This window comes from Homo sapiens, chromosome 19, assembly GCF_000001405.40.
Source record: "Homo sapiens chromosome 19, GRCh38.p14 Primary Assembly".
NCBI classification, from domain to species: Eukaryota; Metazoa; Chordata; class Mammalia; order Primates; family Hominidae; genus Homo; species Homo sapiens.
The window spans coordinates 55,549,492-55,562,339 of record NC_000019.10 but is presented as its reverse complement, the minus strand read 5'-3'; the positions used below and the strand labels follow the sequence as shown (position 1 = coordinate 55,562,339).

The following is a 12,848-nucleotide window of genomic DNA, read 5'->3' as shown; positions in this document are numbered from 1 at the left end:
TCAAAATTGTCCTGGGCCACATGTGGCCTGCAGGCTGCAGGTTGAACAGCCTTGCTGTGGGAGTGCTTCCTTGCCTCTCCCTAGCTTCCAGTGGTTGCCAGCAATCTGTTTGTTTGTTTGTTTGAGACAGGGTCTAGCTCTGTCACCCAGGTTGGAGTGCAGCACTGCGATCTTGGCTCACTGCGACCTCAACCTCCTGGGCTCAAGTGATCCTCCCACTTCAGCCTCCTGAGTAGCTGAGACTACGGGCAGATACCACCATGCCCGGCTAATGTTTTCATGTTTTGTAGAGACGGGGTCTCACTTTGTTGCCCAGGGTGTCACCAGCCACCCTTGGCATCCCTTGGCCTGTGGCTGCATCACCTCAGCCTCGGCCTTCATCGGCACAGGCATCCTCCCTATGTGGGAATCTGTGTCCAAATCTCCCTTGTGTATATGAATAGCAGTCATATTGGAGTAGGACTCCTCCTCTCCAGTACAGCCTCATCTTAACTAATTTCATCAAAACGACCCGATTTCCAAATAAGGCCACATTCTGTGGTACTGAGGGTTAGGACTTCAACATATATATATATATATATATATATATATATATATATATATAGAAATATATATATAGAAATATATAAAAAAATATATATAGAAATATATATATATATATATATATAAATTTTTTTTTTCCAGAGACAGAATCTCACTCTGTTGTCCAGGCTGGAGTGCAGTGATGCAATCACAGATCACAGCTCACTACAGCCTCAAACTTCTGGGCTCAAGCAATCCTCCCACCTTAGCCTTCCAAGTAACTGGGACTACAGGCATGCACCACCATACCCAGCTAATTTTAAAATTTTTTTAGTAGAGACAATGTCTCACTATGTTGCTCAGGCTAGTCTTGAACTCCTGGATTCAAGCAGTCCTCCAACCTTGGCCTCCCAAAGTTCTGGGATTGCAGGCATGAGCCACCATACCTGGCCCTAAGTCTTTTATATGTAGCAGTGGGCAGCTTCTGAAAAGGCCCCCAGTGGTCCCTGCCTCCCAGTGCTCACACTTTTGAGTAATCCCCTTCCTCTGAATTTGAGCTGGACATAGTGATTTTTAATAGAATAGGGGAACAGTGATGGGATGTCACTCTCAAGATTAGGTTACAAAAGACTATGATTCCTGTCTTGTTTCTCTTTCTCTTCCCACCATCACCCCCACTTTCTCTTTTTGGCTTGGCTTCCTGGCTTTGATGGGGCCAGCTGCCATGCTGGGAATTGCCCTATAGAGCAGCCCACGGGGTAAGGAACTGAGAGTGATCTCTATCCAACAGCCTGTGAGGAACAGAGACCCCCAGTCCAATAGCCTGTGAGAAACCAACTCTAGCCAAGACAGGAGTGAGTCCGGAAGCAGATCTTTCCAGTTGAGCCTTCAGATGAGACCTCAGCCTAGCTGATGCCTTGATGGCAGGCTTATGAGAGTCCCTGAAACAGAGGACCTGGCTGAGCTGGGTCCAGCCTCCTAACCCAGAGAAATGATGAGAAATGGGTGTAGTTTTGAGCAGCTACGTTTTGAAGGTAACTTCAGCAGTAGAAGCTAATCCACATGTATTAACCCATTTAATTTCTATAACAAGCCTAGGTGATATATACTGTTATTATCCCCATTTTACAGATGAGGAAATGGAGGCACAGAGAGGCAGAGATGTTTGCCCAAGGCCAGTAAGTGGCAGGGATGGGGGGTAAAGCCAGATAGCCTGGCTCTAGAGTTTATCCTTTTAGCCACCCCACTATTGTTGTTTCACTGTTAAATAATAATAACTGGCAGTCAGGTGTGGTGGCTCATGCCTGTAATACCAGCATTTTGCAAGGAAAAGGCAGGAGGATTGCTTGAGGCCAGAAGTTTGAGACCAGCCTGAGCAACATAGTGAGACGCCATCTCTAAAACAAGAAAGAGAAAGAAAGAAAGAAAGAAAGAGAGAGAGAGAGAGAGGAAGGAAGGAAGGAAGGAAGGAAGGTAGGTAGGTGTGGTTGTTGGTGGAATGCACCTGTAGTCCCAGCTACACGGGAGGCTGAGGTGGGAGGATTACTTGAACACCCGAGGTCGAAGCTGCAGTGAGCTCTAATTGCACCACTGTACTCCTGCCTGAGCAACAGAGCAAGACCCTGTCTCAAATAAATAAATAAATAAATAAAGGCTGACATTTGTCAAAGGCATATCCTTTGCAATTTCTCCACGTGTCTAGTCTCCATCATCACTCAATGTGATGATATATCTTTGTTTTCTTAGAATTACTTATAATTTTCAAATTTCAGTTGCAGAGAGTGGCGTGGATGGCACCAGCTGACTCATAGCATGGCCATCATTAGCCCTCGCCCCGCCACACTGCAGCCCAGTGGAGAGAGAGCTGGACAGCATAGCACCTGTCCTCACACCTTCGCATCATCTGCTGAAGTCTCCCGTTGACTGAACCCAAAGAGAAGCCAGGTGGAGTCCAGTTGGCTGCATGCCTTCCAGGCAGAGGGTGTCACCCCAACAGAGAGGAGACTTAGATAGACAAACAGAAGCTGTCTGGCGCTTCCCGACTGCCTTCCGTTCCCATCACACACATGATGTGGCAAAGGACATGTGGGAAGATCTCTCAGGGGTGTACACCCAGAAGAGGACGCCTCAGACCCATTTCCCCGCTACAGCCTCCATCTCCCCCACCAGTCTACCCCCCTCCCTTGACCAGCAATGCCTCCAGCTCCCTGCTTCCCCATGTCCTCAACCACTTCCCAATTTCTTCCTCTCTGATGGGTGTGAATGGGGTCTCCCTATAGGGGCTTACCAGGTGGTGGACAGGTAGCAGAACTGGCCTGCTCCAGACGCAGGCAATAAGGGAGGTTTTGGCTATAGAGGAGGTGAAAACAATAAAATGACCAACCAAAAGTTTGGTCTGCTTTTCTTTCTAATTTCTAAATTTTATTACGATGTTTTTTTTCATAGAGATGGGTACTCACTATATTGCCCAGGCTGGTCTCGAACTCCTGGGCTCAAGTGATCCTCTTGTCTTAGCCTCCCAAAGTGCTGGGATTACAGGTGTGAGCCGCTGTGCCCAGCTTGGTCTGCTTTTCAGTGTCACCAAGTGCAGCAATTGTAAACAAGGTCAATGATTAAATATGTCTCCCTCAAAAACACTATACATATATATAATATACAAAAATTATATATAATATACAAAAATTATATATATATATTATTATTTTTGAGATGGAGTCTTACTCTTGTCGCCCAGGCTGCAGTGCAATGGTGCGACCTCAGCTCACCACAACCTCTGCCTCCTGGGCTCAAGCGATTCTCCTGCCTCAGCCTCCCTAGTAGCTGGGATTACAGGCATGCGCCACCACGCCTGGCTAATTTTTTCTATTTTTAGTAGAGACGGGGTTTCTCCATGTTGGTCAGGCTGGTCTCGAACTCCTGACCTCAGGTGATCCACCCGCCTCGGCCTCCCAAAGTGCTGGGATTACAGGCGTGAGCCACTGCACCCGGCCGAAACTAAACATATTCTTAAAACACAATGCAGGCTGGGCACAGTGGCTCACGCCTGTAATCCCAGCACTTTGGGAGGCCAAGGTGGGCAGATCACCTGAGGTCGAGAGTTGGAGACCAGCCTGGCCAACATGGCAAAACCGCCTCTACTAAAAATACAGAAGTTAGCCGGGTGTGGTGGCATGTGCTGCAATCCCAGCTACTCTAGAGGCTGAGGCAGGAGAATTGCTTGAATCCAGGAGGCAGAGGCTGCAGTGACCTGAGACCGCGCCACTGCACTCCAGCCTGGGTGACAGAGCAAGACTCCATGTCAAAAAAAAATACATAAATAAATAAACCAGAATTCAGCAATCACTCTTATTGGTATTTACTCAAATGAGTTGAAAACCTATGTCCACACAAAAACCCACATGTGAATGTCTACAGCGACTTTATTCATAATTGCTAAAACTTGAAAGTAACCGACTGGGCGCCGTGGCTCACGCCTGTAATCCCAGCACTTTGGGAGGCCAAGGCGGGCAGATCACCTGAGGTCAGGAATTTGAGACCAGCCTGGCCAACCTGGTGAAACTCCATCTCTACTAAAAATACAAAAATCAGCCGGGCATAGCGGTGCATGGCTGTAATCCCAGCTACTCGGGAGGCAGGAGAATCGCTTGAATCTGGGAGGTGGAGGTTGCAGTGAGCTGAGATCGCACCACTGCACTTCAGTCTGGGCGACAGAGTGAGACTCCGTCTCAAAAAGAAAAAAAAAGAAAGAAAGCAACCAAGATGTCCTTCAATATGTGAATGGATAAGCCGTGGTCCATCCATACAATGGAATATTATTAAGCAATAAAAAGAAATGAGATGACAATGAAAGGTTTTACTGAAAGAAAAAAAAAAGAGCTACCAAGCCATAAAAAGACATGGCGAGAACTTAAACGCATGTTTCTAAGTGAAAGAAGCTAATCTGAAAAGGCTGCTTACTGTTTGATTCCAACAATACGAGGTTCTGGAAAAGAGGAAACTACAGAGACAGGAAAAAGATCGGTGGTTGCCAGGAGCTAGGAGGGAGAGAGGGGTGAGGAGGTGCAGCCCAGGGGATATTTAGGGCAGTGAAACTATGATACTCTGTCTGATACTATAGTGGTGGGGACATGTCATTATACATTCGTCTAAAGCCACAGAACATACAACGTCATGAACCGGGAGCGAGCCCTCATGTACACTGTGGACTGTGGGTGATGATGGTGTGTCCCATGCACCACCCTGGTGGGGATGTTGATAGTGGGGGAGGCAGTGGGGGCAGGGCAGGGAGTATAGAAGAACTTTGTACCTTCTGGCCGGGCACGGTGGCTCATGCGTGTAATTCCAGCACATTGGGAGGCTGAGGTAGGCAGATCACCTGAGGTCAGGAGGTCGAGACTAGCCTGGCCAACATGACAAAACCCCGTCTCTACTAAAAATACAAAAATTAGCCAGGCATGGTGGCACATGCCTCTAATCCCAGCTACTCGGGAGGCTGAGGCACAAGAATCACTTGAACCGGGGAGATGGAGGCTGCAGTGAGCCGAGATCGCGCCATTGCACTCCAGACTGGGTGACAGAGCGAGACTCTGTCTCAAAAAAAAGATCTTTGTACCTTCTGCTCAATATTGCTGTGAACCTAAAACTGCTCTAAAAAATAAAGTCTATTAATTAAAAAAAAAAAAAGGAAGAAACCCCCCCAGCAGTCAAGAAAAAGATGCAGGTGATTATTACATGATGGTTATTGAAAATAGTTCTTCTATACAGGAGGGGGTGTTAAAAGTTAAAAATAGGCCTGATGTGGTAGCTCACACCTGTAATCCCAGCACACTTTGCGAGGCCAAGGCAGGAGGATCGCTTGAGCACAGGAGGTCAAGACCAGCCTGGGCAACACAGTGAGAGTTCGCCTGTCTTTACCAAAAAAAAAATCAGCCGAGCATGGTGGCATGTATGTGTAGTCCCAGCTACTCAGGAGGCTGAGGTAGGAAGATCACTTAAGCCTGGGAGGTCAGGGCTGCAGTGAGCTCTGATCATGCCACCGCACTCCAGCCTGGGTGACAGAGTGAGATCCTGCTTCAAAAAGATAAATAAAATTTAAAATGATCTGGGCATCTCACAGGCTGTGTTTGCTCTGGTCCCTCACTCACTAAAATGCAGGTTCCAATTTTTTTTTTTTTTTTTTTGAGACAGAGTTTCTCTGTGTTGCCCAGGCTGGAGTGCAGTGGCACAGTCTGGGCTCACTGCAGCCTCCAACTCCTGGTCTCAAGTGATTCTCCTGCCTCAGTCTCTCGAGTATCTGGGATTACAGGCACTGGCCACCATGCCTGGCTATAGGCCAAATTTTTTTTACTGGCATTATTGAGATGTAATTCATATGCCATAAAATTCACCGTGTAAAGTAGACAAATCAATGGTTTCTGGTATAGTCCTAGAGTTTGTGCAAACATCAACACAATCTTTTTTTTTTGGACAGGGTCTTACTATGTTGCCCCGGCTGGAGTTCACTGGTGTGATCTTGGCACACTGCAACCTCCGCTTCCCAGGTTCAAGCGTTTTTCCCGCCTCAGCCTCCTGAGTAGCTGGGATTACAGGTGTGCACGGCCACGCCTGGCTAATTTTTGTTTTCTTTTTGTTTTTTTTTTTTTTTTGAGATGGAGTCTCGCTCTGTTGCCCAGGCTGGAATGCTGTGGCACAGTCTCGGCTCACTGCAACCTCCGCCTCCCGGGTTCAAGCGATTCTCCTGCCTCAGCTTCCCAAGTAGCTGGGATTACAGGCGCCCACCACCACACCCAGCTAATTTTATGTAGTTTTAGTAGAGACGGGGTTTTACCGTGTTGGACAGGCTGGTCTCGAACTCCTGACCTTGTGATCCGCCCACTTCGACCCGCCAAAGCTCTGGGATTACAGGCGTGAGCCACTGCGCCCGGCCTAACACAATTTTAAAACGTTTTTCATCACCCCCAAAAGAAACATTGCACCCCTTAGCCATAGCCCCCCAGTACTTGCCTCCTGCCCCCCATGTCCTAGGCAGGCGCAGATCTGCTTCCTGTCTCTGCAGATCCTCCCGAGGGCTGGAGTCGGCTTCGCTTTGAGGTGTGTCCCAGATGCTGCAGCAACGCTTGAGTCCGGCGTGGTAGCAGGTAGGTATCCATTGTTATTTATTATTGTTAATTAAATTAAATTAATTTATTTATTTTGAGACGGCGGCTCGCTCTGTTGCCCATGCTGGAGTGCAGTGGCACGATCTCGGCTCACTGCAACCTCTGCCTCCTGGTTTCAAGCGATTCTCCTGCCTCAGCCTCCCGAGTAGCTGGGACTTCAGGTGCGTACCAGCACGCCCGGATAGTTTTTGTATCTTTAGTAGAGACAGGTTTTCGCCATATTGGCCAGACTGATCTAGAACTCCTGACCTCAGGTGATCCACCCGCCTCAGCCTCCCAAAGTGCTGGGATGACAGGCATGAGCCACCACACCTGGCCCTCAATCATTATTTAATCGATCTTGTTTTAATTTGAATCCCAGTCACCACTGGCCTGGCCTCTCTTGCTACTGTTAATTTACTTATCCGCCAGGTCTCTGAACCCCTTCCTCACCTGCCAACTTTCCTGTCAGGTTGGCTCAGAGCCACTTCTAGGCCCCTCTTGGTCGCCTTTGGAAGAGGCACACCTTGCTTCTTGGCGGCTGTATCCTGGTTCACAGAACCTTCTGGGCACCTCCGGAGCAGGGACAGAGTCTGTCTGTGGTCTCCCAGCACCCAGCCTCAGCTCAGGGCTCTGCATACAAAGTCCCCAGGAAATGTGTGTTGTGTTTGAATGGAAAGAAGAGAAGTCAGCAACCTTGGCCTACACCTGCCCCTGGCTCCTGGCCCACAAACATCTACGAATAGCAGAGAGGCCGAGGGTGTGCACTGCCGGGTTGATTGGCGTTTGAGTCCCTCCTGCTGCTGATCTATAGTGAGACACCGGGCAGGAGGCTTAGTCTTTGTGAGTCTCACTTTCCTCAATGATGAAGCCGAGCTAATAACAGGGCCACCTCCCCAGGGTGCTGGGAGGATTAGCACTGGGGCTGGTAATATGTTCAGTAAATGCTGGCTATAATTATTAATCACATGGGGTTTCTGAAGCCATTACAAACCTGCCATGTTCGGCCATCCATCCGTCTCCTCATTCCACACACGTTTCCTGAGAAACAGAGAGAGAGTCCAGTGTGCTCGGACATTCCGAGTTCTTCCATTGCCTGGGTGTTGGGTGAGATGAGCCGGGTGGAAATAAGTTGCAACAGGTGCAGCTCCAGAAGGGCTCGGAGGCCAGGCGGGGGAGTGTGAACTCTATCCCAAGAGCAATAGGGAGCCATGGGAGGCTACTGAGGAAGAGAGGGCCTGGGCCAGAAGTGAGTGTTAGAATGATGGCCGGTGTGGTGGCTCATGCCTGTAATACCAGAATTTTTGGAAGCTGAGGCAGGAGGATCACTTGAATCCAGGAATTTGAAACTAGCCTGGGCAACATAGTGAGAGCCTGTATCTATAGAAAATTCTAAAATTAGCTGGGGAGGATGGTGCACACCTGTAGTCCCAGTTACTTGGGAGGCTGAGGCAAGAGGATCACTTAAGTATGGGAGGTCAAGGCTGCAGAGAGCTGTGATTGCACCACTGCATTCCAACCTGGGTGATGGAGTGAGACCCTGCCTCAAAAAAGAAAGGGAAGGGAGGGACGGAAAGACGGAAGGAAGGGAGGGAGGGAGGGAAGGAAGGAGGACAGGAAAGGAGAAAGAGAGAGAGAAAGAAAGAAGAAAGACAGAAAGGAAGAAAGGGAAGAAGGAAGGAAAAGAAAGAAAGAGAAAGAGAAAGAAAGAAAAGAAAGAAAAGGAAAAGAAAAGAGAAAGAGAAAGAAAGGAGGGAAGGAGGAGGGAGGGGTGGGAGGGAAGGAGGGAGAACCTTTGTGTGTCAGACGGGGCAGTCCAGAGGCGAGAGGGGAGGCCAGGAAGAAGCTGATAAGCTGGGATGGTGATCCACACAGGAGAGGGTGAGGTCTGGGGAACAGCTTCAGGGGATGGAGAATGTAATAACTCTCATCCTGTGACCTGCAGACTTCTAGAGAGATCCATAGCTGATTCGGTGGCATCTGTAATCCCCGATGTTGTCTGCCAAACTGTGTGTTTCTATTTTTACAAAAGTAAATGCAAACAAGGTGAAAATAGTCCTGATGATATGTTTCATTTCACTCGACACACTCGATTCTCCTTATTCATGGTGGCTATCTTCCTTGAAGTTGCTGAGAACACCAAACTGGCAAATACCAAGCCATTGCCACTGGGGGAAATACAGGGTTAGATTCCTGCAGGCCGCTGGTTACAACATCTTCATCAAACAATCAATACCTCACTGACTTTGCCTTTCTGTTTAAAGACATCTTTTACAGACACGTTGTTGATTCATTGTCATTGAACTCACCGCCAGCAGGAGTACAGCTCATACCTGAATGAAGTTCATCTGACACACATGGACTCTTTCTTTCTTTCTTTTTCTTTCTTTCCCTCTCTCTCTCCCTCCCTCCCTCCCTCCTTCCTTCTTTCTTTCTTTTCTTTCTTTCTCACGGAGTCTCGCTCTGTCGCCCAGGCTGGAGTGCAGTAGCACGATCCTGGCTCACTGCAACCTCTGCCTCCTGGGTTCCGGCAATTCTCCTGCCTCAGCCTCCCGAGTAGCTGGGATTACAGTCGTGCACCACCATGCCCAGCTAATTTTTGTATTTTTAGTAGAGATGGGGTTTCATCATGTTGGCCAGGCTGGTCTCAAATGCCTGACCTCAAGTGCTCTGCCTGCCTCGGCCTCCCAAAGTGCTGGGATTACAAGCATGAGCCCCCGTGCCAGGCCAGATTTTCTATGTGAGGCACTGCAGAACATTCCTAAGCACTGAAGGGGACCCTGTTCAGCGCTGTGCGTGGGAGCTGAAGTGTAGAATCACCAACAAAAAGCACAAACCTGCAGAATCACCAACAAAAACCACAAAAATGTGAAAATCGCAGCACCAACATAAAAAAAAGAGACGCTTGTTTGTAGGAGCGGCTGACACGAAAAGGCGGAGCATCGCTTTCTTCAGCCTCAGCTGGGGATGTGTGCATTGGCAACTCACGTTTTTCACAGCTCTGGGCGCACCTGCAAAAGCACTCTTTTGTTATTGTTGTTGTTCTTTCCGCTCTTATTATTTTTTTTTTGTTCCACCTTGACAAATAAAGAATGTATACAATTGTTGTGTACAACATGATTTTTCTATTGTTTTTAAAGACAGGGTCCCGCCACGTTGCCCAGGCTGGAGTGCCATGCGTGTTTTTCACCAGTGCATCTCCAGCTCTTGAATTCCTGGCCTCGAGAAATGCCTCAGCCTCCTAGACAGACATGACATGACAGCCTCCTAGACTAGACGTGTCCCACCATGTCTGGCTCACATGATGTTTATATAGATATACACATACACACACAGATTGGAAAATAGCTACATCAAGCTGTATAATTAACATATGCATTACCTCACATGCTTTTTTTCTTTTTTTTTTTTTGCAGTGAGAATTCTTTTTTTTTTTTTGAGACAGAGTCTCCCTCTGCCACCCAGGCTGGAGAGCCCTGGCGCCATCTCGGCTCACCGCAACTTCCGCCTCCCAGGTTCAAGCGGTTCTCCTGCCTCAGCCTCCTGAGTAGCTGGGACCACAGGTGCTCGCCACCACACCCAGCTAATTTTTTGTATTTTTAGTAGAGACAGGGTTTCACCGGGTTAGCCAGGATGGTCTTGATCTCCTGACCTCGTGATCCACCTGCCTCGGCCTCCCAAAGTGCTGGGATTACAGGCGTAGCCACCGCGCCCGGCTGAGAATTATATTTCTTAAACAGAATGGTGGAGACATGAATACTCATTATATTTGGGGGATATGCGTGAAATATTTCATGTCACAGAGAATCCCAGCAAGGTTTTGTGCTGCGTGTGAGCAGGTCAGAGACGGCGATAAGACTTAGCACGTGTGGCCTGTCTGTGCCTCGGGAAATAATAGTTCCTATGTCATAGGTAGAACATAAGGATTTAATGAGATTACTGCAAGGGTATACAAAGCCCCAGAACAGTACCTGGCCCATAGTAACTGCTGTAAGCGCATTTGTCAACAACAATAATAATAATTGTTAAGCATTCACTATGCTTGGTGGTATGGCTTGTGTTTTCATCCATTCTTTTATTTAACAATATTTGTTCAACGTATACATGGTGCAATAGAAAGAAAATAGCATTACTGTCTTAAAACAGGAGCAAAGGGCTAGATGGCTCACACCTGTAATCCCACCCAGCACGTTGGGAGGCCGAGGCCAAGAGGATAGCTTGAGGCGAGAAGTTTGAGACCAACCTGGGCAACATAGTGAGATCCCATCTCTACAAAAAACTTAAAAGGTAGTCAGCCCAGTGGCATGCACCTGTGATCCCAGCTACTTGGAAGGCTGAGGTGGGAGGATCTCTTGAACCCAGGAAGTCAAGGCTGCAGTGAGCCGTGACTGTGTCATTGCACTCCAGCCTGCATGTCAGAGTGAGACCCTGTCTTAAAAACAAAATAAAAAAAAAACAGGAGTGGGCTGGGTGCGGTGGTTCACACCTGTAATCAGCACTTTACTCAGGAAGCTGAGGCAGGAGAATTACTTGAACCCGGGAGGTGGAGGTTGCAGTGAGCCGAGATCGGGCCACTGCACTCCAGCCTGGGTGACAAAGTGAGAATCCGTCTAAAACAAACAAACAAACAAACAACAATAAAAAAATAAAAATCAGGAGTGAAAACATTTCCACCTTTCCTGCGAAGGTTGGTTAACTCATCAGGATGACTATTAAAGGCTGAGATTTTGGTCTACTAGTTTATAATCTAACTCGTTCCAGATAAAGCAAATCAGTTTAATGTTAACACTTTTTTCCTTCTGTTTTTCTTTTCACCTTTTTTGGCCCAAGGATGGAGTGTGATGGTGGGTGGGTTACATTGTCAACTGAACAATCTTTGAAGTGTAAATTAATTTTTATATGTTCTTTCAGTATATATTTTCTTAATTGAATTTACTTTAAAAATAACATATAAGTATATATATTATACAAAAGATATATACTACATATATCACTTAATATATAATATAGGATAGTATATATCATATCTAAAATAATTATCTTAGATATAATATTATAATGTACATTAGTATATGCATTATACATATCAATTTTCTTATCAACAGCGCTGTGGGTAGGAGCTGGGGATGACCTGCATTTCAGACAGGAGAAAACTGAAGCGCAGAGGCATCCCGGGAATTCAAGACCAGCCTCGAATTCCAACATAGTGAGAGGGTAGAGGCCGCATAGTGAGACCCCATCCCTGCAAAAACTCTTCGCAACAATGACAATAATAGATGAAAACACAAGCCACAGCACCGAGTACAGTATGAGTGTTGGACACTATTATTATTGCTGTTGTTGTTAACACACTTAACTTGTGTGCCCTCGTTCGGCCAGGAGGGGACAAAGCCAGGAAACGGTCACAAAAGGAGGCCTCGGAGGCTGGTGGGCAGGACGGAGGGGAGGAGAGAGGCACACCGCCCAGCTTTAATGAGGGGTGTGTGTGTACCCTGGGGCTGCAGGACTGCAACCTCCCCCACCACACCTGCGTGCCGAGGTCACTCCGGGTGACCCCGCAGAGCGGCGTTACTAAATGGGGAGGTGCAAAGCTCTTCGGATCACCAGCGAGCGTCTGGGGGAGGGCTGGAGGCCCGCAGCGTCCCCTCTCACTCTCCTCCCGGGGGACCCAGGTGGCCGGCTCTAGGGTAGCAGATGCGCTTGCCTGTCGGCGCACAGCCAGCCCCGGGTCTCCAGTGGAGGAGCTCAGCTCGAGCCGGGCCGGGCACCTGAGGTCGGCCTCACGGGAGCTGCGTGGGCAGGGGGCACAGAGGAGCCTGGAGTCACCAGATCTCAAGGCATCCCAGCTCTGCCTCTCCCTGGCTGCGGCTCTGTGGCCCATGACTCTGCTGCTTCATGCCTCACTGTCCCCATCAGGAAATTGGAAACCATCATTCTACCGACCCAGGGCTTGTTGGGAGGACTCCACAAAGTCTTAAGTGAAAAAGAGAGAGAGACCGAGAGAGCGTGACCAGGGCCTGGCACCAAGTAAGCACCGAGTGTTACTATATTACTGTATCATCATCACTGTATTATTTCATTAAAATTTTTTGAATAACACATACTCACAGGAAAAATTCAAATAATGTAAAAGGCACAGTGGTAAAAAGTTCCCTGAAAGTCATACGGGATGTTGACGTTGATTCCTGA

The 12,848-nt window shown here is 48.0% G+C and overlaps 1 annotated feature.

Moving 5' to 3' along the window:
* Positions 8,923 to 9,423: an enhancer, noted in NCBI's record as "H3K4me1 hESC enhancer chr19:56064283-56064783 (GRCh37/hg19 assembly coordinates)". NCBI's record gives its function as "activates a minimal SCP1, AML or CMV promoter by ChIP-STARR-seq in primed H9 embryonic stem cells {active_cell/tissue: H9 hESC(primed)}" and the evidence as "EXISTENCE:reporter gene assay evidence [ECO:0000049][PMID:30033119]".